The 26878-nt window shown below is 49.9% G+C and overlaps 3 protein-coding genes and 1 long non-coding RNA gene across 7 annotated transcripts, besides 2 other annotated features; 2 read left to right on the forward strand and 2 right to left on the reverse strand.

The window, feature by feature from the left end:
* Positions 1-2632: 2632 nt before the first annotated feature.
* On the reverse strand, positions 2633-3450 carry SFTA2 (surfactant associated 2). The gene is made up of 3 exons (NM_205854.3): positions 3316-3450; positions 2987-3075; positions 2633-2854 (listed from the first exon to the last, which is right to left on the reverse strand). The coding sequence occupies exons 1-3, from the start codon at positions 3374-3376 to the stop codon at positions 2768-2770; spliced, it is 237 nt and encodes a 78-aa protein (NP_995326.1). The 5' UTR covers positions 3377-3450; the 3' UTR covers positions 2633-2767.
* Positions 3451-8320: 4870 nt separating this feature from the next.
* LOC124901299 (uncharacterized) lies at positions 8321-10186 on the forward strand. 4 transcript variants are annotated; one of them, XM_047419622.1, is made up of 4 exons: positions 8321-8581; positions 9349-9463; positions 9578-9793; positions 9921-10186. In XM_047419622.1, the coding sequence occupies exons 1-4, from the start codon at positions 8399-8401 to the stop codon at positions 10052-10054; spliced, it is 648 nt and encodes a 215-aa protein (XP_047275578.1). In that variant the 5' UTR covers positions 8321-8398; the 3' UTR covers positions 10055-10186. The 4 variants fall into 4 exon arrangements, with proteins under 4 accessions (XP_047275578.1, XP_047275577.1, XP_047275580.1 ...); XM_047419621.1 differs by having other exon boundaries at positions 9578-10186; XM_047419624.1 differs by having other exon boundaries at positions 9582-10186.
* Positions 9168-9669: an enhancer, noted in NCBI's record as "H3K4me1 hESC enhancer chr6:30905665-30906166 (GRCh37/hg19 assembly coordinates)". NCBI's record gives its function as "activates a minimal SCP1, AML or CMV promoter by ChIP-STARR-seq in naive H9 embryonic stem cells {active_cell/tissue: H9 hESC(naive)}" and the evidence as "EXISTENCE:reporter gene assay evidence [ECO:0000049][PMID:30033119]".
* Positions 12089-12926: an enhancer, noted in NCBI's record as "H3K27ac-H3K4me1 hESC enhancer chr6:30908586-30909423 (GRCh37/hg19 assembly coordinates)". NCBI's record gives its function as "activates a minimal SCP1, AML or CMV promoter by ChIP-STARR-seq in naive and primed H9 embryonic stem cells {active_cell/tissue: H9 hESC(naive and primed)}" and the evidence as "EXISTENCE:reporter gene assay evidence [ECO:0000049][PMID:30033119]".
* MUCL3 (mucin like 3) lies at positions 12253-25501 on the forward strand. Its single transcript, NM_080870.4, has 3 exons — positions 12253-12361; positions 19827-23779; positions 24251-25501. The coding sequence occupies exons 1-3, from the start codon at positions 12280-12282 to the stop codon at positions 24395-24397; spliced, it is 4182 nt and encodes a 1393-aa protein (NP_543146.2). The 5' UTR covers positions 12253-12279; the 3' UTR covers positions 24398-25501.
* Positions 17259-26142, reverse strand: HCG21 (HLA complex group 21). The gene is made up of 3 exons (NR_138040.1): positions 26057-26142; positions 23642-23811; positions 17259-17858 (listed from the first exon to the last, which is right to left on the reverse strand). It is a non-coding gene; the product is annotated as an HLA complex group 21 (long non-coding RNA).
* Positions 26143-26878: the final 736 nt, after the last annotated feature.

Consider the following 26878-nt stretch of genomic DNA (forward strand, 5'->3'; position numbering starts at 1 on the left):
AAGTTCTATTGGAAAGCACTGATCTAAGACCTTATAGGCTGTTTCAAGAACTTTGCTTTTCCTCCTCTGAAATGGAAGCTCCTTTCTTTTCAAGGATACTACCAGAAAGTTGCCCACCTCCTTTCTACTTGCATCCTATTGGACAGAACGTGATCACATGGCCACAGCTAGCTGCAAGGGAGGCTGGGAAATGTAATGATCCACATGCTGAGTTGAAATCTACATGACTATCCAAAAGGAGGAGGATGGCTGTTAGGGGGGCCAGTTAGCAGTCTCTGCCACCCCCAGGTCTGGTGAACCCCAAAGCACTCTTCACTGCACTGCTCTGTTTTGAGCCTTGGGAGACAATTCTTTGAGAAAAATAATCTGGAAATCACATCCTGGTGATCTCAGGCCCTGAAGTCTAGGAACCAGGTTGAGGTGCATTTAGCTGTCTGCTCTACCAACCTCTTGGACATTCAGATATCCAGTCCCCCAACTTGTTTGGGGATCCTCACAGCTGCCCCATGGGCGTCACCTGCCCATTACTGCAGGCTAGGGGCAAGTCATAAAATACTAGTCTCCTTTGGAGCCCCCTGCTACCTCTCCTTGGGGGCTAATTGTCCCAGGACAGTTGTGAAGGAAGGTAGACCAATTTTTTAAGTGTTTTTTTTCCACCCTGCCATTTTCTATGCTCCCCTCATCTTCAGTGATGCTCCATACTGAACTCTTGTTGTCTTCTGTCTCCAAAGGAGTCAGTCTCCAATTTCATATGGAGATAATGGAGGGTTGTGTAGGTGTGGGGGGCAGAGTGGGTACCACAGAGGACAGAGAGCAATCCTATCAGTACCCCCCACTGCTCAAGTCTGAGCTGCAAGTTTGTGTTTTGAGAGCTGGTGAGAAGTCAATTTTTTTTTTTTTTTTTTTTTTTTTGAGACAGAGTCTTGCTCTGTAGTCCAGGCTGGAGTGCATGGTCTTGGCTCACTACAGCCTCTGCTTCCCAGGTTCAAGCAATTCTGCCTCAGCTCCCCGAAGTAGCTGGGACTACAGGCACATGCCACCATGTCCAGCTAATTTTTGTGTTTTTAGTAGAGATGGCGTTTCACCATGTTGGCCAGGCTGGTCTTGAACTCCTGACCTCAGGTGATCCACCTGACTTGGCCTCCCAAAGTGCTGGGATTACAGGCGTGAGTGAGCCACTGCGCCTGGCCAAGATAATCTTGAGAAGGTGGTCAGGAGTGCCTGCCTCAGAAATCAGCATAAGGAGGACCCTGAACCCCAGGGGACTAGGAGTTATATGTTGGGACCAGGTTTCCATCCTAACAGCAATCCCTACCATCCTGCCGACGACCTATAAGACAGGCTGTGATATGTCCCTAAGTAGCTTCCCTGTGTGATCCTCACAACAACCTGATGGTGCAGGAATAATGAGAAAAACTCAGAATTGTGTAAAAACAAAACAAAACAACAACAACAAAAACCTTCCCCCAAACTGGGAGGGAGCTGAGAGGCCAAAAAGTGACTCAGACAAGTCCAGCTTGGTGAGTAGATGAGTTTTTTAGGACTTACATACAAGGCACTCCTGGATGGCAGCAGGACAGCTTTAGAGATCCGTGCTGCCTCCCATGCTAAAGCTGCTTTCAAGCTAATTTTCTGACTCTGCCGACTGTGTGTGTGCGAATGGACTGTTTTCCTTGGTGGGTTCCCAGATACTCTCCGGGATGTTTGGGTTCTCAGGGACACCTGCTCCTCGGCCAGGCACCGTGACCTTGGCTCGCCACCTGGCCTTCAGGATTCAGGCAGTGGCATACACCGTTAAGTAACCTGGTAGGGGACCTGTCACACTACAGCAGGTACCATCATTGTTCCCATTTTGCGAGTGAAGAAATGGAGGCTCCAAGAGGATAAGAAACATGCCCAGGAATTCACATGTGGGCTGGTGTCACCTCATACTCACATGGTTAACCAGGACAGGCTCAGCTTGCACCTGGCCTCTCCTCCCCAGCACTTGCGCCTGGCTGGGCATCCTCTCACAAGCTGAACCCGTCATCTCTCACCTGAGTGCCCACCCACCTCCCACCCCAATTACCTGTGTGGATCCATGGGCCAGGGGAACCATGTCCTGGGGGTGTTCTGCCTATGTCTCTTTCTTTGGTTTTTGAGCCCCTGGCCCCAATGCTTAAGCAAAGGGAAATGAAATAAAAATCTTGCTTAAACCAAGACCTCTGTCTAGTGCCTGACTTCTCCACTGCTATTAGATCTCAGGTGAGTGACTTGCCCTCTCTGAGCTTCAATTTCCTTATCTGTAAAATAGGATAATGATACCTAGTATGCCACATTCAAGACTGCTGCAAGCATCGAAATAGGGATGCAGGAGAAAAGCAGGACTTCAATAAATGTTGCTTCTCTTTATTCCCAGGTGTTCCAAAGATCTCAATTTGGTGTGTGTTCCTATGCATGCGTATATGTGTGTGGTGTGTGTGTCCCCAAACAACTCCCCAGATGCCTTGTAGGCCTGTGACACTGGTGTTGAGGGAGACATTGTCCATCCCTGGAACCCTCTGCTCAACAGGGGGACAGTCAGAGACTTGAGCATCCAACCCCCACTTCCTGCCAGCTCTGTGCTCAGGGACCCACAGAGTCAAGCAAGTTATTGAATTCAGCATACCGAATTTTATTTATTGCCGCTCAGGAGGGTGGGGGCCTGCTGAAAGACAGGGTCGGGGCCTGCCTCCTGCATCCCCGGCCCAAAAGCCCGGGCCAAGAAGGACACAGGCTTCAATGGCTGTCATGTGTTGCAGACAACATGGTGTTGAGATCTTGCATGGTGGAGGGTGACGCTGGTCCCTGAAGGGAGATGGAGGAGGAGGCAGAGCTGGGAACAAAGGGTTAAAGGGCGCCATGTAAGAGAGCTCTCCATTCCCACCACGGAGACATCCAGACCCCAGCAGAGGCCCAAACTGACTCACAAACACACAGCCCCATCTTTCCCCTTCCAAAGAACTACCTTTTCAAGCAATTCCAGGAAGCTGGACTCATAGGAGGAATTTGTCAGAAAAGACTCCTTCAGCTTCAGTTGCAAAGTCATACCCGGCCCTGCGGATCCAGAAGTACAGCTTAGGACCCAGCAGTCAGGGCTGATTCCTCCGGAGACACAGAACCTTCCTGCTCACGCTCCCCGGCACAGTTCCTCTTCCCCAGCAATGCCCCTCCAGAGCCTCTTGGAAGCTCAGGACTGGGGTGTCTCTGTCACTCTCAGGGACCATGAAGTCCCACCCCTTTTCTCTGGCCTCTTCTTGCCACAGGGACCCAGGAGTCCTGCCCTCTAGCCCTCACCTGTTCCATGTGAGCTGCCAAGGAGGGTCAAGAGGAGGACAAGGGGCAGCCCAGACCCCATAGTGGCCACTGCGCTCCTGGGATGGAGGAGACACTGAAGTCCCGGTGGCCTCTCCTTAACAGGCCTGTTTCTACACCCCACTCAAGCCTTAGCATAAGTGTTTGAGGGGAAATGGGAGGAGGAATCTGGTCAACTGGATTTTCCAGTTCTCCCAGTAAGAGAGGACCCAGGAGAGGACCATTCACTGTGCTTTTGGGGAAAATAGAAGGAAGTCCCCTCTTTTCCACTCTGTGTCCCACCCCTCCCTTGTGTCTCCAGGTTTGAGGGAGTGAGTGCGGGTCCTACAGACAGGGAAATGGAGAGGGAAGCGGGGACCAGGGAGGCGTCCCTCCTGCAGGTGTCTGGGCCCCCACCCATGCCCGGGCCTCCCAAGGATCTTTAGAGATTAATTATTAACTGCAGCTAATTTTCATCATTCTTGACACCGAAGGGCTCAGGAATGTGGGCCCAAAAGGGAGGGGTGGATTAAGCCAAGTTTCTTCCAGAACCCAGGTGTCCTGCTCCCTCAGGTTTTTTTTTTTTAAACACTAGTCAAGTGCAGTAGTGAAAAGAGTAGAAGGAGTAGAACAAGGAGTTGGGTCTATAATGGACTGTGAACACTGCTTCCCCAGCCTTGGTGGCTTTCTAGATGAGAAATCTGGTCATGGGAACTTCCATTGCTGAACATTCTGTTTTACTTGCTCTAACGCATCCTGGATTGTCAGGGGGAGACACGAGTTTCCTCAGACATCCTCTCACTCCTGCCTTGTGCACCCATGAAAAGGGGACACCCACCTACTCCCGGCCGAGATGCCTACAGGCAAGCGCTGGGACAGGCAAGCACAGGACAGATGTGCAGAGGGAGTTACTGACCCTCTTTAGAAACTAGGAAAGTAAGGCACAGAGAGGGTAAGTGACCTGCTAAGGTCACCCAGCCAACAAGTAGCAGAGAGATTAGAACCCATCCCTCTAGCCAGACAAAGAGACACACCAGCCATGGAAACTTGCTTGAACACACAAGGGCACAGGCCAGCATCTTCCTATCTGCCACTTCCCTATGCAGCCTCTCCACCTTCCCCAAAGCCAGCGGGACTGAGCACAGAGAGACAGAGGCAGAGAGAGCACTGGGCAGAGGTGGGGAGAGCAAAAGCAAGATGGGGAAACAGAGATAGAGGCCTGGTCTGCACTGTAAGTGTAAAGTGAGGCAACCAATGACTCCCAGACTTGCACAGGACAACAGGAAGACCACAGTGGGAAGAAAGCATGGAGGAGAAGAGCAGCAGGCACAGGAGGGACGAGCAGGAGGTAGAATTGGGAACACAGAGAGATCTTCCTCGGAGAAGAGTAAGGGCCCTCCCTCCCTCCCTCCCTCCCTTCCTCCCTCCCTTCCTCCCTCCCTCCCTCCCTCCTTTCCTTCCTTTTTTTTTTTTTTTTTTTTTGACAGCGTCTCATCCCTGTCGCCCAGGCTGGGGTGCAGTGGTGCAATCTTCTCCTGGCTCAGCCTCCCGAGTAGCTGGGATTACAGGCACCCGCCACCACAGCAGGCTAATTTTTGTATTTTTAGTAGAGACAAGGTTTCACCATGTTGGCCAGGCTGGTCTCCAACTCCTCACCTCAGGTGATCCACCCCCTCGGCCTCCCTGAGTGATGGAATCACAGGCGTGAGCCACCGCACCTGGCCTCCCCCACACTTTCTACAGCCATGTGCTAGGCTCATCACTAAGTATTCCTTTATAGCGCATAAGCGCCTGTGAAGTAGGTACTAGATTACCCCGATTTTAGAGGTGAAATTAAGACTTAGGCCTTGTGACTTGCCAGAGAATGCACAGCTCAGCAGTGGTGGATTCCAGTGCAGTGGACTCAGCCCTGGTACTGAGCTTCTGAGGATTCAGGGCTGTCTGGCTCCAGAGCTGGGGTCTGACCTTCCATATCACACTGTCCCCAAACATGACACGTGTCTTCCTTGGTGCCCCTTATCTCCCCTTTCCCCTTCCCTGTCAAAGGAATGGAAAGCTCTGTCAGCTGCAGCCATCTAGGTGAGACACGGCTCAGGTATTGACCTTCCCAGCCCACTCTTAGGTTTCCAGAAGGTCAGATGCAGTCCTAGACCCTCATGGTTCCCCTACAACCCCAGCTTCCAAATCCTGCTTCCCTGAGGGACTCATACGTCCTGACTTCCAACGGTTGTACTTCTAGGAACAAGAGGATGACCTTGGGATAGGTCATTTGGGTCTCCCCTTTTAAAGGAGGGTCTGGGCTGTGAATTGACTCAGACCTGGGGGACAGGTCCCTAGTCCAGGAAGAGCCCAAGGGCCAGGTGGGGGAGCCCGCAGGCTCTTACTCACTCTCCCCCTCACCCTGTGCTTCCTGGGATCAGGCTGGGACAGGTTAATCCCCTGGGACAACTTGGCGACCTCTCTCTGGGGATGGAGATTCTGGTGTTGGTGGAGGCCCCGGCACAACTGGCTCTCCCGGGACTCATAATAGGCCCCAGAGCCTTTAAAGAGCCTGGGAGATGGGCCTGGCCAACACACTTCAACTGGTGCCATGGACACTGTGCTGGTGCTGCTCCTGGGCCTGCAGGCCTTGGCCGGACCCAGTGAGCACTTGGGCCCAGACAGGGGGTCTTGAGGAAGGACATGAATTTGGGACCCAGTGGGATGGCCAACTCTTCTAACCCTGTTCTATGGTTTATCTTCTTTTTTCAACAGTTCAGCTGACCCTACTGGGGACTTCTGACACAGTATCCCCAGGTCTCCCCTGTCTCTGGAAGTCTCCCCACTGTCTCTGGAAGTCTCTCCTCTGTCTCTGGAGCTCTCCCCGGTTTCTGGAAGTCTCCCACTGTTTCTGGAAGTCTTCCCACTATCTCTGGAGGTTTCCCCACTGTTTCTGCAACTGTCCCCACTATTTCCAAAAGTTTCCCTACTGTCTCTGAAATCTTCCCTCTGTCTCTGGAGGTCTCCCCACTATCTCTGCAACTGTCCCCACTATCTCTAGAAGTCTCCCTACTGCCTCTGGGAGTGTCTCAACAGTTTCTTCAAACTCTGGGAGTTTTCCCAGCAGTCCTCAGTCTTTAGCTCCAGCCGTTTCTGGGAGCACTTCAGGAACAGTCTCCACATCATCAGGTGATATTTCTGTTGCTCAACCCATCTCGGGAGAACCCTTCAGCTCGGTCTGTAGCTCTGGGGTGGGGCTTCCTGCAAGCCTGGCAGTTTTCCAGAACCTCAGTGGAAGCAGCTCCCTTGCCTTTGTGGCTATACAAGGGCCTCTCTTTCTGTTTTCCAATTCATCACCTTTTTCTGTCATGATTAGTTCCTGTTGTATCCTAAGACTTTTTTGGCTACTTCAAGGTCATGAAAATATTCTCCTCTGCATTCTTCCAGAAACGTTATTATTTTAGCTTTCAAATTTAAGTCTATTATCCATCTCAAGTTAATTTCTGTGTATGGAGCGAGGTGGAAGTCAAGATTCATTTTTTCTTCTTATGAATATCCAGAACCATTATTTCCAAGGACCCTCCCCTGTCCCTGCCATTGAACGGTGAGCACCTATCCTGAAAGTCAAGTGACTATTTGTGTGGGTTTTTCGGTAAGTTTTTTTTTTTTTTGAGGTGGAGTTTCACTCTTGTTGCCTAGGCTGGAGTGCAATGGCGCGATCTCGGCTCACTGCAACCTCCGCCTCCCGGGTTCAAGCAATTCTCCTGCCTCAGCCTCCGGAGTAGCTGGGATTACAGGCGCCTGCCACCACACCCAGCTAATTTTTTTGTATTTTTAGTAGAGACGGGATTTTACCATGTTGGCCAGGCTGGTGTCGAACTCCTGACGTCAGGTGATCTGCCTGTCTCAGCCTCCCAAAGTGCTGGGATTACAGGTGTGAGCCACTGCACCCGGCCTATCAGTCAGTTCTTACTCCAGGGCCACAGTGCTTAAGGACTACAGATTTGTAGCAAGTCTTGAGATCTCATAGTGTAAGTTCTCCCTTTTTTTTTTTAAGAGAGTGTCTTGGTTATTCTCAGTCTTGATTTTCATAACATTATTTCATCAGTTTATTCCAAAAACTTGCTGGAGTCTTGCCTGTGGGTGCATTTGATGTGACCTCTGCTTTGCTCTTGCTTGAATCTCTTCTGTTTTTTCCCTCTGCCCTCTTAGGACCTGCCTCATCCAGTGCTCCCGGAACAGCTCCAACTGTGCCTGGGACTTTAGCACTGAGTGTTGCTGTCTTAGGAGTTCCACTGCCACCATGGCTGGGTGGCCACCACGTCCTCTGGGCTCAGCATCCTGGCCAGTTAAGTCACTCTTCTAGGCACTGGGTCACTTACAGTAAAATGTTGGTGGGCCTATTCTCTCTCATTTCCCTGCAGCCACCCCTGGCTCCTTGGGAGGAGTTCAGGGAGAGTCATTAGCTCCTGCTTTCAACTGTATTTTAAACCTGTCTGAGGATGTGTCTGTAGCTCAAAGGGGTTTTGGTGGCCTCTGGTCAGACCAACTGCCAGATGCCTGTTACCTGGCTGCTTTCTCGAAAGGTTTTCATCTTTCTTCCTCATGATCTAATCTCTCTGTTCAGGGCGAGAGGCATTCCTTCCAGAGATCACCCCTCCTTCTTCCATCATCCTCCTCCCCTCCCTTTCATTCCTAGAAGGGGAGCATAGGGAATACCACGCGGGAAGTCTGACGGCAGGAAACGAATGGAAGGAAGACAGGAGATCAGGCTCTGGTTCCCCTTAAGGACAAGAATCAGGGTGGAGTGGTGGGGAGAACTGGGGCTTGGAGGAAGGAGAGTGCCTACTGAGGACCCTCCCAGTGCAGAAGCATCACAGACCCAGGGATGCAGAAAATAGGGCCCGAGAAAGACAGTGAGGTGCGGACCTCAGTGATGAGTCTGGGACTGACAGACGTGTCCACAGGGAAGAGGCAATTGAGACTTGGATTGAAGCCCTTTAAACCCCCACCCCCACCCCTGCTGAGATTCTGCTCCCAAGGTGATAGGAGAAAACACCAGAGAGATGAGGTCTCAGAGTCAGAGACATCAGTCACAGAAAGAAAGATGGAAAGTCAGAGGGCAGTGGGGGTCTGGGGGGCTGGAGGCACCACTTACCTCAGTCACTGGCCCTGTCTTTGTGCCCCAGGTCCGAAGCCCCAGAAGGACTCTGTCTCAGACTGGGCCATTGTGTTGATCACTCTCACTTTGGTGGCAGCAATTGTCAGCCTAATGTACGGTATCAAGAAGGTGAGCAATGCCATGGTCCAATGTGTGGGATCCCTGTGCCAGTGGGGCTGGGACCTGGTGCCCCAGGATTCAGAGGAGAACAGGGCTTTGGGGAGGGGAATGACAGCTTGCAGGGCTTGTTGCAGGGAGGGCAAAGAGAGCCCTTGTCTCAGTGGCCGAGAAAAACACCGGTCTGGCAGGGATAGGGGGTTGGGGCCACTGAAAGAGGCGGGGGAGTGCTGGAGGCTGACTGGCACGTGGAAGCACTCAACTCAGCTCTAGGCAATGAAGGACCAGTTCTGTGGAGCCACATTCACCTGGGCTTGAATCCTTGTGCAAGTTACTTAATCTGTCTGTGCTCCGGATTCTTCATTAATAATAATACTTAAATAATAATAATATTACATCGCACTGATTATGTGCTAGGTGTGCTAGGTGCTGTACATATTTTAGTTCACAGCAAGCCAGTGATATAGGAAATATTACTCCTCATTTTACAGATGAGGTAATTGAGTCCTGGATGAAATGAGAATGATGGCATCCATCTCAAAGGGTGGTTGGGAGGATCAAATAAGCTTATGCAAAGAGAGCACTAATGGTGCTTGGCATGTATTATAGTAAGTGCTCAATATACAGCCTTATTCATTATTATTGCTGTTTTTGCTCAAAGAGGAATGCTGAGTGCCTGGGTTGCCAAGAGGAAGCAGCAGTTCATGGGAAGAGCTGGGCTGAGCAGCAGGTTCCCGGGTCCCTAGATTAACCCATCGTACCCTCCCCTCATCTCACAGGCCTGCCAGTTCCGGAGGGAGATGAGTCTGGGGTGTGGCTGTGGCTCTGTGACCCCTTACAGCAGCCACCATGAGGGGGAGGCTGCCAGCCAGCGCTACTCTTGTCAAATGAAAGGTGGGGCTGGGGCAGCTGAGCGCCTACCCTTTGGCCTTCCTTCTTCCTCTCCCAGATAGTCTCATTCCCAGACTCCCCTATCCCATTCACCTTAGCTGGGACCATTTCCTGCAGGTAGATTCCTGGGGTCACTGGCCCCCCCAGGTCTCTTCCACCCACAGCGTAAGGAGGAGTCTACTGTCAGTCACAAGATTCTGCTCTCTGTCCTGCCGCCAGCCATGCAGACTGCGGGAAGGTGCCCAGCTTCTCCGAGGGCAGTTTTCTCATCTGTAGAAGGAAGGACCAGGGCTAAGTGGTCTGCAGGCACCTTCCAGCCCTCACGGAGCCCAGGTCTGGACAGCTGGAACCCCTGCCCCTCACCCTCTCTTCCTAGTCCCACCCTCCTCCCTGACGACCAGAGAAGCTCTTTAGCTGAGGACAGTCTGCTCACGGCTTCCCTTCTCACTTCCCTCCACAGGGAGCCCCCTCAGGCTGGCTCTTGAGCCCCCAAGGCCCTCTGATTCTCTCCCCTCAGGGCAGGTGCAGGACCCTCCTCTGTGGTGCCCCCTCGGTCTGCTATGGGAGGGTGGTGAACAAGTTATTGCTAAATAAAATGGCACTTCCTCCACTTGTCTCCCAGATGCTGTGGGTTTGCCCAAGTGCATGGGCTTTTGTGTCATGTGGGCCCGGAAGGGCCAAGTCTGGTCTCTGCCAGTTACCAGGGCAAGTCATTCCCTGATCCGAGGCTCATTTATCCTCATCTGTAAAGTGAGGGTGACAGGTGATAACTCATAGGTGAGGTGCTTAGTACATTCTTCAGTACATAGAAATGCCCAAACAATGGTAGTTGGCAGAGTTGTTTCGTGACTGGCCTCTCAGCCTCCAGCTCAGATGAAGCAACATAGACTGACTGTAAGAGACTGTTTTGGGCCTCCACCTACCTCCAGGTTTCTCCATCCCAGACATCAGCGTCCTTGGGGTGGAGTTGTAGCTCAGAGAGAAGGGAAGGGGGTGTTCATTCACAAACACTGGTTAGTGCTTATTCTAAAGCAGAGATCCTCCACTTCAGCACAATTGGTGTCCTGGGCTGGATAATTCTTTGCTGTGGAGACTGCTCTGGGCATTATAGGATGTCCCACAGCATCTCTGGCCTCTACCCCCTAGATGCCAGTAGCATCCCACTCCAAATTGTGACAAAAATGTCTCCAGAAATTTCCAAATGTTCCCTGATGTGGGCAAAATTACTCCTCCCTGTACAGAACCACCGTCCTAGAGGCTTGGGTCCCTGGGGAAAGGGGGGGGGGGAAGGGGACCAGTGAAAAGGGGGACTGTCAGTCACCCGAGTCTACATGGAGTTGCAGAGGACAGCCTGTGTCTGCCTTAGTTTCTCCATCCTGCAGGATATATTGCCTGGGAGGCAGGCTGCCCAGTTCTGAGTAGTCAGTCTTTGGCCTGACTCCACGGAGCCTCATTAATCTCCCATTAATCACATTAATAAGCAGTTGGCCTCCTCTCCTCTTCCCACCTATTCCAGCCCTGCCCAGGGCTTAGGGACAAGTCACACCAAGTAAGGAGAGGAACCCACATGTCCAGTTCTCTAGTCCTCTCATGAGCCCAAATGCCCTGAGGGCCTGGCCTCCTGCCCTCAGGTCCTGGACCTCTCTATGGCCTTTGCCTGCCCCCACTTCCCTCAGAAAGGCATCCTCCGGCCCTGGCTTCCACTCCATCCAGGCGGAGTGGAAACATTTATTGATTGCCTACTGTGTGCCAGACACTGTCCTAGGCTCTGATGACACAGCAGGGATCCAAGGTGCTTACTTTCCATGGAGACCCACAGTGGGCAGAAAGGGGTTGTGACTTCTCTGTGCTAGAGACCCAGGGAGTCTGTCCTCCCCTACTCCAGCCCCAGGCACTGTCACTGGGGAGACAAGGGAGTCTCTGAGCTAATGCTTGCTTTAGGCAGGAAGTGAGGAAGGGAAGGGGGAGCTCTGGGGTGCTCCTAAAAATGAGATGTCTGCATTTCTGTATAGGAGTGAATGGGGACTTCGAGACAAAGAGACAGCCGCTGAGCTGAGGTGGGAGGGAAGAGGTAGAGTGAAAGCAGAAGCCCCTGTACACCGAGCATCTCTTGGCCAAAGATCTTGGCCTCGGTCCTTCTGGGTGGCCTGACCTGTCTGTGTCCCTGGTGAGGGGTGTGACATATGTCCCTGTGGTTCTGTGTCTTGTCTCTGTCACTGCCTCTGCACTCTCCACATATTGTTGTATGACCTCTGAACATCATGAAGCACCTTTCTCTGCAGCGAGGGTCATTCGAGGGCTTTCTCTCGCCTTTGCTCTTTCACCTGATCCTCGCGGACAGCTCCGCCCAAGGTGGCAAGAATGACCATGTGTGAATAAGGGGTGTGGAAGCTGGGCTGATGCGGGAGAGGTGGGAGGGTGCGCGTGAAGCTGGACACAGATCAGAACGTGAACCCCACCCCATCCTGCTCCCAGCCAGAGCTCAGTCCTTCTAGAACTGAGCCATCTGCTCCCCACTTCCCCAGAGCCCTGGAGGCGCCACCCTCACTTCCCTCCACTGGGGCTGGCTCAGGTGCCTGCTCCTTTCTGGTTCCTCTGCCCTGCCCCCAGATCCCACCCCTCGGCAGGCACCCAGGTGCCTGGCTCCATGACGCAGCAGCTGCGGTCTCCTCTTATCAGGGCTCCCCTGTGGGTTGGGGTGGCTCCATTTGTTTAAGACTTAGTCCTGAGGAGCCCCAGCCCCCATGACGTCAAGATTGGCTCCATATAAGGTGAGGGGTCCGCAGCCCATGGTCCCCAAGCAGCCACCCAGCTCCGACATGGCCCAGCCGGTCCACAGCCTCTGCTCCGCCTTTGGCCTCCAGTGCTGCCTCCTCTTCCTTCTAGCTTCTTGGGGGGCAGGTAAGATGCCCACAGGGGATACAGAAGACAGAAACAGCTTGTTTCTTAGTGTTCATAGCGTTGGACAACAAATAGAAATGAATGAAGGGGGCGGGCACGGGGCTGCTACAGACAGTTGTCTAGAGTGTTCTCTGCTCAAGTTTGCTGGCTAAGGGACATGTAGTAGGAGATGAAATCCAGCCTGTGCTCTGCTCTTTAAAACATGGCTCACAGGGCTGCACCCATCCAGAGGGGGTTTCTTCAAGTTTGCATAAAGACACTGTAGAGGCTGCCAGCCCTGGATGGTGGGGGTAGGCACCTGACATTCATTGAGCACCGTGCACGGAATTCACAGCTGCTCATGGTGATTTCTTTCTTCTTCTTCTTCTTCTTCTTCTTTTTTTTTTTTTTTTTTTTGAGAAGGAGTCTTGCTCTGTTGCCTAGGCTGGAGTGCAGTGGCACAATCTTGGCTCACTGCAGCCTCTGCCTCCCGGGTTCAAGCGATTCTTCTGCCTCAGTCTCCTGGGTAACTGGGATTACAGGCACCTGCCACCACGCCTGGCTCATTTTTTTGTATTTTTAGTAGAGACAGGATTTCACCATGTTGGCCAGGCTGGTCTCAAATGCCTGGCCTCAAGTGATCCGCCTGCCTCGGCCTCCCAAAGTGCTGGTATTACAAGTGAGAGCCACCGTGCCCAGAGACTCATCTCATTTCATCTCAGCATCCCCTGAGGTGGCTAATAATATCCCATCTTATAGTTGAGGAGAGTGGATTCACAATGATTATGTCCCATATCTCACAGCTAGAGGGAGGTAAGCAGGGATTCCAGCTCCACTGCCCCCAGCCCTGGGGGGACAGGTGGAGCTTCTCTCCTGAGAGCTCTGTTTTGTGCAGACCTAGCTTCCAGTCCTGACTCTGACCCATTTGCCTACTCTGGCCTTCCACACCATCTGTAAAATGGGCTGGATGCTGCTGCCCAGCCGTACCAGTATTTGATGCCTACAGAGCATTTACACTGCACCAGGTGTTGCTCTAGGGACTTCATCCACATTTACTCATTTAATCCACATGGAGACTCAGAAAAGTGTGCGTCAAAGGCTCTGTCCCTGTCTTACAGTTGGGAAACATCTCAGGACTTTGATGGGAAAATGACTATGGACAAGTTCGACGAACAAAACATACCCTAAAGATAAGATGAAATTATGAAATTAGTTCACTTAGTCAAGAAACGGACTGCTACTGAACCCGGGGAGCAGAGATGCTGAACACAGGGGCGGTGTGGAGGGCCTGGGCAATTTGGAGGAGGGTCTCCACAAGGCAGATGTAGAACAGCAGATTCAGAGACACTATCTACCCACTGGACAGTCATCCAAGGACAGAGCCATCCACAGGGTGATATTAGAGGCAGTGCCCCTTCCCTGAGCACAGTCAGGTTGAGGCCAGGGGTGGAGGCAGGGGCAGGTGGGTGGTGAATGGCGATGACTGAGGAATCTTTGAGCTGCCTCTGAAAGGTCTCAGCAGTGCGTCCTGTCTGTGCCCTGACTTGATGTCTGTCTCCCCTACCTTGAGGGTCTGGAGACAGAGGTACCACAGCTGCCCAACACCTCCCGGCCCCATCTCTCCCGCCTTTCCTTCCCCTTCCTCTCAGGCGGATTGTCCACTGGCTGCTCTCTCCTCCTTCCATCTTGCAGCTTAAGGAAGAGGAACCTGCAGGGGGCGGAAGGGAATCCACTCCATACACAGTCGCTCTGAGATTTGCTTCAGGGCGGAGATCTGAATTCCTGAGATTCCGATGGGGCCATGTGGGCGTGGTCTCGGAGAGGAGATAGGCGTGGCTGGGCGGCATGGAGGGAGGGGTGGGGAGGACAAGGGGAGCTGGCTGCTCCCATTCTGCAGATTTTGAAGACAAGAGTGAGTGGGTTACAGGTGGGGAGGGCTTGAGGCTGGGCTCGGGTTGTGATGAGGTCGGGTGGAACTGGAGTGTGAATCAGAGCTGGTGCATGGCTGTGCCCAGCAGAGAGAGAGGCCAGGGCAGGAAGGGAAGAGGGACAACTGGGATGGATGAAGCCCTTTAGTCTACCATTCTGGTGAGGAGACCCTGACGTTTGTCCACAGGACCAGTCAACACCCAGACAGATAACTAGATCCTGGAACCCCAGAGTCTGCATCATGCAGTCACAGAACCACAGGTACAATCTAGATTAAATCATCCGAGGGCAGCACAGGTGCAGTCCAGATTAAATCATCACAGAGAGGCATAGGTGCAGTCCAGATTAAGTCACCAGAGGGAGGCACAGGTGCAGTCTAGATTAAAGCATCTGAGGGAGCACAGGTGCAGTCTAGATTAAATCATCTGAGGGAGCACAGGTGCAGTCTAGATTAAATTATCACAGGGAGGCACAGGTGCAGTCCAGATTAAATCATCACAGGGAGGCTCAAGCGCAGTCTAGATTAAATCATCTGAGGGAGGCTCAAGTGCAGTCTAGATGAAATCATCTGAGGGAGCACAGGTGCAGCCCAGATGAAATCATCTGAGGGAGCACAGGTGCAGTCTAGATGAAACCATCTGAGAGAGTACAGGTGAGGCAGGAGATGGGAATTGGGGCTGGGGTCCTTGGAAGAATCTAACAAGAACATTTTCCTATAACAAATGTTATTTGATTTAATTTCTATAACACAAATAATGTATGCTCATTGTAGAAAATGGAAAATAGAAAAAATAAGAAAGAAAAATAAAATCTCTGTATACTCCCTAGTCCCCAAGCAATCATTTGATTATATCTCCCTTTAGCTTTCCTTTTTTTTTTTTGTAGAGACAGGTCTCGCTATGTTGCCCAGACTGGTCTCAAACTGGTGATCCTCCTGCCTCAGACTCCCTAAATGCTAGGATTATAGGTGTGAACAACTGTGCCCACCAGCTTTTCTTTTTCTATGTCTGCATTTTAAGCCACTTATTGAACTCATACTGTATAGGTATTTTAACAAACATTTACCCACATTATTGCAAATGGAGCATGCCATTTATGGGGGTAAGGATACCAGGAAACACTAGAGATGCTCTTTTGGGACAGCGTGCCCTGACAGCGACTCCAAGGCATGAGTTGCTTAGCAAGATATTCTTTCTCCCTTCCTTCCTTCCCTTTCCTTTCCTTTCCCTTCCTTCCTTCCTTTTCTTTCTTTTCTTCCTTTTCTTTCCCTTTCTCTTTCTTTCTTTCTCTGTCTCTCTTTCTTTCTTCTTTCGACAGAGTCTCACTCTGTGGCCCAGGTTGGAGTGTAGTGGCATGATCTTGGCTCACTGCAGCCTCTGCCTCCCAGGTTCAACTGATTCTCCTGCCTCAGCCTCCTGAGTAGCTGGGATTACAGGGTCCTGCCAACACGCCTGGCTAATTTTCATATTTTTAGTAGAGACGGGGTTTCGCCATGTTGGCCAGGCTGGTCTCGAACTCCTGACCTCAGGCCCACAATGGCCTCCCAAAGTGTTGGGATTGCAGGTATAAGGCACTGTGCCCAGCCGATGTCCTCTCTTTCAAATGAGTGAACAAAGCAGATGGCGGGGACCTTTGGCACTGTGCATCGTTTTGATGTTGTGGGATTTGTTCTTATTCTTTTATCCCAGCTGAGCATCCACCTACAGTGTCTTGTGCTAAAGTTGGATTTTCCTCTCTGCACCTCCTGCCTATTCTTCAGTGACCAAAACAGTTCTTTTCGGGCTATGATGGTTGTACGTGGAATGAATATCTCCTGGTGAAAACTTACTAGGGAAATAAGTCACTACCAAAGTAGATCGTCTGGGGCAGAGATGCTCCTCTTGTCCTGGGGGTTTACACTGATTTGCCTCTTGGCTGTGTCAGGGCCAAGGAATCCCTTGAGCTTTACCTCAGCTTTTTACAATCTATGGTTCCACAACTGTTTGATGCAGATCTAAAATTCTAAAATCTTGTTATCTGAGTCTAGTTATGGACTGTGATCCTGTGGTTTAATGACAACTGGTATCCCAGAATTGGTGGGCCAGAGGCCTTCTTTCAACGTCTTTTAATCTCAGAGCTCAATTACTGAACAGCGGAAGTCGCCCTTGGTCTTCCAGCCTGTGGAGGTCACAAATACATTTGGTTTTTACTTAACGTGCATGATGAAATGTTGTTGGCAAGGCTTTTAAGGAGTTTTCATCAGTCTTATTCTTTCATTCATTATTCAACAAATATTTACAAAGTGCCTCCTATGGATCAGACACTGTTCTAGGCTGGAGACAGCGATGAACAAAACAATAAAAATCCCTGCCAGGCCAGGCCAGGCCAGGCCAGGTGCAGTGGCTCACGCCTATAATCCTAATATTTTAGGAGGCTGAGATGAGAGGATCACTGAAGACCAGAGTTTGAGACCAGCCTGGCCAACATAGTGAGACCCTGCGTCTTAAAAAAAAAAAAAAAAAAAAGGTGAGGAGGGGGCATACTGGCTCACATTTGTAGTCCCAGCTGACAGGGAGGCTGAGGTGGGGGTACTGCTTGAGCCCAGGAGGTCAGGACTGCAGTGAGCTGTGACCATGCCACTGCACTCCAGCCTGGTGCAGAGTAAGACTCTATCTCAAACAACAACAACAACAACAAAAACCCCGGCCGGATGCAATGGCTCATGCCTGTAATCCCAGCACTTTGGGAGGCTGAGGTGGGCAGATCATGAGGTCAGGAGATCGAGACCATCCTGGCTAACACAGTGAAACCCCATCTCTACTAAAAATACAAAAAATTAGCTGGGTGTGGTGGCATGTGCCTGTAGTCCCAGCTACTCAGGAGGCTGAAGCAGGAAAATCACTTGAACCCAGGAGGTGGAGGTTGCAGTGAGCCCAGATCGCACCACTGCACTCCAGCCTTGGCGACAGAGTGAGACTCCATCTCAAAAAACAAACAAACAAAAAAAGCCTTGCCATTGTGGAAATTTAATTGTATTTATCACATATCAGAAAGTGATGAGTGCTGTGTTATTAAAACACAGCAGAGAAAGTGGCCCAGGAATGCAGAGGCTGCTGTTTTCAAGAAGGTGGCCACAGCAGGTGAGAGGTGGATGGAGCAGGCAGGGGGGTAGGGCTACTGCTCAGGCTCCCCTTACTACCAGGAGAAGGACAGGGCAAAGCACGAGATTATTTCAGAGACTACAATGTGGATTCAACAAACATTTAAATAGCTTCTGTGCTCCAGAGTCTTCCATGGTCCATACTTCCTTTAATCCTCACATTAAGCTGGTGCAGTCAGCATCATGGTTATTTACAGTCGAGAACATGGAGCTTCAGAGCACTTAAGAGACCTGAGCAAGAATGCAAAACCGCTGAGGGACCGAGCCTGGATGTCAAACCTGTCCTCTGATTCTTTAAGGCCAGTGGAAAATGCCCTTTGCATTGCTGCCAGCTCCTTTATTCACTCAATAGATAGTCATTCATCCCTTATCATGTTTAAAAACATCTGGGGCACAGTGAAAAGTCTAATTTTGCCAATTACTTAACCTCTTTGCGTCTCCTTTCCCCACCTGTAAAACAGTAAGATCACACTCCTCACTTCACAGGTTCATAATTATTTGATTAAATAAACAAATATATGAACAGCACCTTTCAGGGAGTCCACACATGTCAGTGTCTTTCCTTCTTTAAAAGACTGGGCTGACCTATTGGCTGTGCACTGTGGTCTTAACCAGCAATGATCTGGGCCCGGGACCCCAGGATGTGTGTTCAGATTCTGTCTCGACCTCTTACTTGCTGGGTGTCCTTGAGAAGATTACTTAACCACTCAGAACCTTGTTTCTTCATCTATAAAGTTTGGAGAATAGGATAGTTCTCAACCTCAACAGGTTCTTGTGAAAAGTAAATAAGTTAATGTATGCCCTCACTTGTAGAACCTGCCTGTCTCATTGTAGAGCTCTAGAAACGTTGCCCATTGCTATTGTTGTGGGACTATGTACAGGTCACTTTTCCTCCGTGAAATGTAAATTTCTCAGATGTAAAATAGGGGAAGTTGACCGCTTCTAAAGAGCCTTATGGAGCATTGGGAGATCAATCACCATAGAAGAGAATCCAGAAAGAGAATGTCTGTGAGGCCACCAGCCACATCCTGGGGCCGGGGAAGGTGTCCAATAAACAATAGCTATTACTGGTATTGCTGCCAAGGAGATCAGGTAATGGGATTGGGACAGTGGAGTGCAGGCCTGATCATTCAGCCCCCTTCTCTCCCCTCATTCTCAATTCCTTTCAGAGACTTGGGCTTCTCTATTACCCTCACACCCTTCTTGTCCTGCCCATATTTCTTTCAAGGACTAAGCTCCCCAGGCCGATTCTGCCCATCAGCAGGCAGGTGGACTGTGGTTTCTTGTGATTGGGAATAGGTCCAGGTTCCGGTTGCCGCCTTGAGCTAACAGGGACCAGAAACCTCAGTTATGTAATGACACTATCTCTTTCACTCTTTGGTGATCTCTTGGCCTTCACTCTTTTGGCTAGGTATCAGAGACATCTCCTCTGTCTCCATCAGGTTGTTTTTCCATGGAATTAAGGCGTGTATCTGTCCACTGATAGGGGTGTTTTCTCTCACACCCTGTCCTTAAACATAGTCAGTCCCTACCACAATCTAGTTGCCTCGTTTACTCCTGTCAGGACCCCCAAGCAGATATCTTTTCCTTTCAGGATGGCCCCTTTCATCTATCCCCAGTTGGCTTTAAATGTGTGAAGAGGGGGACCCAGTGGGGTGACCATAAGGGTTGGGTCATCTCATCCATTCCCCTCATCCAACTTTATCACCGAAATGAAAGCTTCCCATCTCCTTACTCTACCCATCCTCCATTCTTCTTATACATCTCTCACTCACAATTTGTGTCTACCTGCTAATCCCTATGGGAAGTTCTGCCAGAGGTCTTACCTCAATTTCTCACACTGTTACATTTGGGATGGTGTTAGAATGTTATGGAAAGGTGAAGAGTCTAACGTTTACTCCTGGTCTTCTCAGCTATGCCATAGAAAGAAGACTCCATTCCATAAGTTACAGACCCTAAAGGGGCACCTGCACAGTAAAATGCTAGTCCATACATGCCCTCAAAACCTTACCATTGGATAGGCATGGCAGGGAGTGGAGGTCGGCAGGCACGCAAACAACTGTAACGTGAAGTTGAAGGTAACAGGACAGAATGGTGAATAAAGACCTTTTCAAGCACTGAAATGAAGCTGGATTTTATCTGCTTAGACGGATCAGAAAAGATGCCTTAAAGCCAGAAGGCCTTGAGATGGAGAGTTGAGGAGATGTGGAAGGGGATGAGGTGGCATGCTTGCTGAAGGCACAGCCTGAGCCTAGGGGCTGGAGGTGAGAATGGGGAATAGATATCATAGTATTCAGAGGAGACTGGCTGGGGAGTCATATCAGGGGGAACAAAGAGATCCCCTAGAGAAGGAGGTGGGAAGGGGGAGTTGGAGAAGAACATGGGGGAAGTTTCTTATTTGCCTCTCTCCCTCCACAGGTGCTACTACATTCCAAGAATATCAGAAAACTGGGGAACTCTCAACATCCGATCACATATTTCCCCTCACTCCAGGCCTTGTTTATAGTATCCCTTTTGATCACATTGTTCTGCATTCAGGACAAAGACCTCCAGAGCTCCCTAAATCTACAGAAATCCATGAGCAAAAACGCCACTGCAACACCACACGCCATTCTAAGCCAACTGACAAGCCTACAGGCAACTCCAAAACTATAGACCACAAAAGCTCTACAGATAATCATGAGGCTCCTCCCACTTCTGAAGAAAACTCCAGCAACCAAGGGAAAGACCCAATGATCCGGAACCAGCGCTCTGTTGATCCTGCTGACTCCACTACCACACATAAAGAATCCGCTGGAAAAAAACATATAACGCCAGCACCCAAGAGCAAAATAAACTGTCGTAAGTCCACAACAGGCAAATCAACGGTAACAAGAAAATCAGATAAAACTGGAAGACCTTTGGAAAAGTCCATGAGTACTTTGGATAAGACAAGTACCAGCTCACATAAGACTACAACTTCCTTCCACAACTCAGGCAATTCACAGACCAAGCAAAAAAGCACATCTTTTCCAGAAAAAATCACAGCAGCCTCAAAAACAACATACAAGACCACAGGAACCCCAGAAGAGTCAGAAAAAACTGAAGATTCCAGAACAACAGTTGCCTCAGACAAGCTCCTGACAAAAACTACAAAAAACATACAAGAGACCATATCAGCCAATGAGCTCACACAATCTCTAGCAGAGCCTACAGAACATGGAGGAAGGACAGCCAATGAGAACAACACACCATCCCCAGCAGAGCCTACAGAAAATAGAGAAAGGACAGCCAATGAGAACACCACACTATCCCCAGCAGAGCCTATAGAAAATAGAGAAAGGACAGCCAATGAGAACACCGCACCATTCCCAGCAGGGCCTACAGAAAATAGAGAAATGACAGCCAATGAGAATACCACACTATTCCCAGCAGAGCCTACAGAACATGGAGAAAGGACAGCCAATGAGAACACCACACCATCCCCAGCAGAGCCTACAGAACATGGAGAAAGGACAGCCAATGAGAACACTACACCATCCCCAGCAGAGCCTACAGAACATGGAGAAAGGACCCCATTTGCCAATGACAAAACCACATCATCCTCAGCAGAGTCTACAGAACATGGAGAAAGGACCCCACTGGCCAACGAGAACACCACACCATCCCCAGCAGAGCCTACAGAAAATAGAGAAAGGACAGCCAATGAGAACACCACACCATCCCCAGCAGGGCCTACAGAAAACAGAGAAACGACAGCCAACGAGAAGACCACACTATCCCCAGTAGAGCCTACAGAAAATAGAGAAACAACAGCCAATGAGAAGACCACACCATCCCCAGCAGAGCCTACAGAAAATGGACAAAGGACCCCATTTGCCAATGAGAAAACCACATCATCCTCAGCAGAGCCTACAGAACACGGAGAAAGGACCCCACTGGCCAATGAGAACACCACACCATCCCCAGCAGAGCCTACAGAAAATAGAGAAAGGACAGCCAATGAGAAGACCACACCATCCCCAGCAGAGCCTACAGAAAATGGAGACAGGACTCCTTTGGCCAATGAGAAGACCACGCCATCTCTAGCAGAGCCTACAGAAAATGGACAAAGGACCCCATTTGCCAATGAGAAGACCACATCATCCTCAGCAGAGCCTACAGAACACGAAGAAAGGACTCCACTGGCCAATGAGAACACCACACCATCCCCGGCAGAGCCTACAGAAAATAGAGAAAGGACAGCCAATGAGAACACCACACCATCCCCAGCAGGGCCTACAGAAAATAGAGAAATGACAGCCAACGAGAAGACCACACTATTCCCAGCAGAGCCTACAGAAAATAGAGAAAGGACAGCCAATGAGAAGACCACATCATCCCCAGCAGAGCCTACAGAAAATGGACAAAGGACCCCATTTGCCAATGAGAAAACCACATCATCCTCAGCAGAGCCTACAGAACACGGAGAAAGGACCCCACTGGCCAATGAGAACACCACACTATCCCCAGCAGAGCCTACAGAAAATAGAGAAAGGACAGCCAATGAGAAGACCACACCATTCCCAGCAGAGCCTACAGAAAATAGAGAAAGGACAGCCAATGAGAACACCACACCATCCCCAGCACAGCCTACAGAAAATGGAGACAGGACTCCATTGGCCAATGAGAAGACCACACCATCTCTAGCAGAGCCTACAGAAAATGGAAAAAGGACCCCATTTGCCAATGAGAAGACCACATCATCCTCAGCAGAGCCTACAGAACACGCAGAAAGGACTCCACTGGCCAATGAGAACACCACATCATCCCCAGCAGAGCCTACAGAAAATAGAGAAAGGACAGCCAATGAGAAGACCACACAATTCCCAGCAGAGCCTACAGAAAATAGAGAAAGCACAGCCAATGAGAAGACCACACCATTCCCAGCAGAGCCTACAGAAAATAGAGAATGGACAGCCAATGAGAACACCACACTATCCCCAGCAGAGCCTACAGAACATGAAGAAATGACCCCATTGGCCAATGAGAAGACCACACTATCCCCAGCAGAGCCTACAGAAAATGGAGAAAGGACCCCATTTACCAATGAGAAGACCACACCATCCTCAGCAGAGCCTACAGAACATGGAGAAAGGACCCCACTGGCCAATGAGATCACCACACCATCCCGAGCAGAGCCTACAGAACATGGAGAAAGGATAGCCAATGAGAAGGCCACACCATCCCCAGCAAAGCCTACAGAACATGGAGAAACGACAGTCAATGAGGACACCACACCATCCTCAGCAGAGCCTACAGAAAATGGAGAAAGGACCCCACTGGCCAATGAGAACACCACAACATCCCCAACAGAGTCTACAGAACATGGAGAAAGGACAGCCAATGAGAAGACCACACCATCCCCAGCAGAGCCTACAGAACATGGAGAAAGGACACCATCAGCCAATGAGAAGACCATACCATCTCCAGCAAAGCCTACAGAACACGAAGAAATGACCCCATCGGCCAATGAGAACACCACACCATCCCCAGTAAAGCCTACAGAACATGGAGAAAAGACTACATTGGCCAATGAGAAGATCACACTATCCCCAGAAGGGCCTACAGAACATGGAGCAAAAACTACGTCGGCCAATGAGAAGATCACACCATCCCTAGCAAAGCCTACAGAACATGGAGAAAGGACCACATCACCCAATGACAAGATCACCTCATCTGCAGCAGAGTCTACAGAACATAGAGATAGGGCTACATCAGCCAATGTGATCACACCAGCCCCAGCAGAGCCTATAAAACATGCAAAAAGGACCACATTGGCCCATGAGAAGATGACACAAGTCACAGAAAAGTCCACAGAACACCCAGAAAAGACCACGTCAACCACAGAGAAAACCACAAGAACCCCAGAAAAGCCTACGCTATACTCAGAGAAGACCATATGCACCAAAGGGAAAAACACACCAGTCCCAGAAAAGCCTACAGAAAACCTGGGGAACACCACACTGACCACTGAGACCATAAAAGCCCCAGTAAAGTCCACAGAAAACCCAGAAAAAACAGCAGCAGTCACAAAGACTATAAAACCTTCAGTCAAGGTCACAGGAGACAAATCTCTCACTACTACCTCTTCTCATCTAAATAAAACTGAAGTTACTCATCAGGTGCCCACTGGTTCTTTCACCCTCATTACATCTAGAACGAAGCTGAGTTCTATCACATCAGAAGCCACAGGAAACGAGAGCCATCCATACCTCAATAAAGATGGCTCACAGAAAGGTATCCACGCTGGACAGATGGGAGAGAATGATTCATTCCCTGCATGGGCCATAGTTATTGTGGTCCTGGTGGCTGTGATTCTCCTCCTGGTGTTCCTTGGCCTGATCTTCTTGGTAAGGGACAGATGTGCCCCACAGAAATCAACCTATGGGATAGGGAATTGAGGATACATTAGGGGTCAGAGTTACAGGGAATAATGAGTCTAGGAAAAGAGACATGGCAGAAGTGGGAGGAACAGTAATAGAGGGAGAGTTTTGGTGAAAACTAAGGAGAAAGACAATAAATACACAGGAGGTAAAAAGCTGGAATTGGGGACAAGGCTGTGGCTGAGAATGAAAGGGTGTGAAAGAGAAAGTGTGGGGGGTGGAGAGTCTGGGGTATGAGAATAGGAGGTGTAAAGACAAGGAGAATATGGTAGAGTGGGGAACTGGAGATGGAGCTGGGACTCATTGTATTGGACCTGGAGCTGGAATAAACATCAAGGTTTGGATGGAATCTTGAGAATAGAATCAAGACCTGAGGTGAGTGTTGTGGAAAACAAATCGCAGATGGTTCTCATTCCTCCTTTCTCATCCCAATCACAGGTCTCCTATATGATGCGGACACGCCGCACACTAACCCAGAACACCCAGTACAATGATGCAGAGGATGAGGGTGGCCCCAATTCCTACCCGGTCTACCTGATGGAGCAGCAGAATCTTGGCATGGGCCAGATCCCTTCCCCACGGTGATCTTGGAGTAGGCGCCCAGCCCTGGCTCTTCCATGCTCTGCCCCTTTCCTGGATGAGGAACCGGACTCACAATTTCTATTTCCGGGACTACAGGAAGGGCAGAGAATACTGACGGTTACCAGTATTAACCCTTCATCTGTTCTTGAAACTGGTTGGGGAATGAGGTGATAAGCAAGGAGGGTGTAAGTTTAGGGGACAAAGAAGAAAGAATGAATAATACGAGCAGACATTCTCTGTAGAAGGTAATGGTCTGAGAATGAAAAGGTGTTTGATGGACATGTTGTGGGGGCACCAATGCAGAACACTGCACTGAGTCCTAAAGGAAGGACAGGAGCCTTATAGGCAATGCCCCAGACTGACTTGTGAGTGGGGTTTATGGGGAAAGGGAGGGACTGAGGGCAGAGTCTCTGGGTTTCAGGACAGCATTATGTTATTTCCATTCACTATTACTTAAGAGTTTGTGTGTAAACAGGCTCATCTCTGAGTTCTCAGGACCCTTGCCCCCACCCCCATTTTTTTAATGAAAAAAAAAAACAAAAAAAACGGATCCAAGAAGAAAAGAGAATTTATTTCCTTCTCCACTCTCTCCATGCCCTGGAGAAAAAAAAGTCCAGAAGAAATCATAAATATCTCTCATCTACATGGTTGCTTCCTCTTCCTCCCAAATCCCTTAGTTTTCCTAAATGTCTACAGTGGACGCCCTGTTGGTTTGGCTTGCTGGGTTGTGGGTGGACACGCAAGGAGGGGATTTTTATTTGGCCAGCAGTCTCACCCACTGATCTCCACCCCAGACCTTCCCTGATTGGTGTCTCAGCATTTATTTTCCTGTCTCTTCCACCAAAAGCCAGCTGTAGCTTTATCTCGTAAAAGTTACCCATCTTCTCTACTGTCCCCATTCTCTCTCCTCCCACCTTCACCCCAGATTCAAGTTTTCCTCCTTGTAGGCATTTCATCTGTGTGTGTTTTCTGGATTTTCTCTCTCTCTTCTTATGGCCATTTCACCTTATTACTGATTGGGTAGAGGGGGAAAAGGAGAATGATGATGATAGTTTCCTTCTGTCTATTGACCTTTTTTATAATAAAGTATAACATGTTTATAAAGGGCATCATAGTTATTAGACTATCCATTGGGAGAAAGTTCTGACTGGCGTTCCTGGCTCTGGCTGAGACCTTACAGAAGTGGAGGAGACAGAGGAGCTGGAGGGCAGGACTGGCAATCTATGGAGGGTCAAGAAAGGGGAGGCTGAATTTCTATTGCTCCAAAAATGGCTCCTTTCTGGGTTTAGGTAAGAGCCAGCCTCAGTCCAGGCTGGGTTTATTTGCATGGTGACAAAATGAGTAGAAAAACCTGTCAATTAATAAGCAAGTATTTTAAAGCAACTATTATATACTCTGTTGAGGATATAAAGAAGTATAAGACATAGTTCTCACCTGAGACACAAAGACAGGAAAATTAAAATTAAATAATTCAACAAGAGTTGTCACAAGTTAGGTGCTATATAGAATAAAACAACACCCTAATTCATTAAGCCCAACTCCGTGAGCATCTACTATGCCCCCTATTTATGTTAGGACACCAGCCCTGCTCCAAAACCGTTGTGTGCCCATGTCAGTCCCAACAGAAACCTCCCATCACCCATGCAGCCTTGGCTCTCTTACCAGAGTATGGCATCATCACTAATTGAACAGGTGCCCCAGTTTGCTGCCAGGCTCCTAAACGTAACTCCATCCAGAATCAAACAGCAGGGCCACAGGTCACTCGCTATCTGCTCCTTTGGGCATCCCCATTTGCTGAAAGCTGGAAACCTATCATGGTCAGTAATCCCAACCCTGACACTGATGTCACTGAACTATCTGGCCCTGGCTGGGCTGGGAAGGCCCTTATTACTGAATCTCCCACCAGAGACCCGCTCTGCTAAAGGCAAGATTGAAGCTTGACTCTCAGAAAGCAGACATGCCAGATGCCAGAGGGACCCAGACTTAGGCCCCTGGAGAAAGGAGGCAGAGGGACACCTGGGTTCTGGAAGGGGCTGGAGAGCCCTCGAGAAAAGGAGGAAGATGCCTGGATTTTAGTTGTCTGGGTAGACGGTGACTCAGCCTGTGGCATCTGCCAGGACAGGAGTGTCTCTCTGCCCTGGGAGGGATGCAGAAACCCCTAAACTCAGCCTGGACCCCAATTCAAAAACAAAACGAAATAAAAACATCTCTGCCTCTAGAGTCCTAAACATCCAACCGGACAGACCCCTCCCCTATCAAGACACCAAAATGCAGCACTGGAGGTCAAAGGGTGTATAAGGGGGATGGGGAGGTTCTTCGCCCGGCAAAGGCGGACTGTGGGCCCTGGGGCGCGGCGGGTGTCTCCCTCCCACTTTCCTCTCTATTCCCCGCTAATTATCACTTTGAAATCTAGGCGGAAATCCTTTAACAAGCTCCGGGGCTGGGCCCTCATTAGGGATAATTACTTAATCAGTAGGACGGGAG

Source organism: Homo sapiens, chromosome 6 (genome assembly GCF_000001405.40).
Source record: "Homo sapiens chromosome 6, GRCh38.p14 Primary Assembly".
NCBI classification, from domain to species: Eukaryota; Metazoa; Chordata; class Mammalia; order Primates; family Hominidae; genus Homo; species Homo sapiens.

Excerpts from the sequence above, each read along its gene's own strand:
- SFTA2 (NM_205854.3), bottom strand. The coding sequence starts at position 3,376 with ATGGGGTCTGGGCTGCCCCTTGTCCTCCTCTTGACCCTCCTTGGCAGC. Across the intron at positions 3,076-3,315 it reads TGGCAGCTCACATGGAACAG|GGCCGGGTATGACTTTGCAA; the intron begins GTGAGGGCTAGA and ends CTGGATCCGCAG. Across the intron at positions 2,855-2,986 it reads TCCTGGAATTGCTTGAAAAG|CTCTGCCTCCTCCTCCATCT; the intron begins GTAGTTCTTTGG and ends CTTTGTTCCCAG.
- LOC124901299 (XM_047419621.1), top strand. The coding sequence starts at position 8,399 with ATGGAAAGTCAGAGGGCAGTGGGGGTCTGGGGGGCTGGAGGCACCACT. Across the intron at positions 8,582-9,348 it reads TAATGTACGGTATCAAGAAG|GCCTGCCAGTTCCGGAGGGA; the intron begins GTGAGCAATGCC and ends CTCATCTCACAG. Across the intron at positions 9,464-9,577 it reads CTACTCTTGTCAAATGAAAG|GTAGATTCCTGGGGTCACTG; the intron begins GTGGGGCTGGGG and ends CATTTCCTGCAG.
- MUCL3 (NM_080870.4), top strand. The coding sequence starts at position 12,280 with ATGGCCCAGCCGGTCCACAGCCTCTGCTCCGCCTTTGGCCTCCAGTGC. Across the intron at positions 12,362-19,826 it reads TCTAGCTTCTTGGGGGGCAG|GTGCTACTACATTCCAAGAA; the intron begins GTAAGATGCCCA and ends CTCCCTCCACAG. Across the intron at positions 23,780-24,250 it reads TCCTTGGCCTGATCTTCTTG|GTCTCCTATATGATGCGGAC; the intron begins GTAAGGGACAGA and ends TCCCAATCACAG.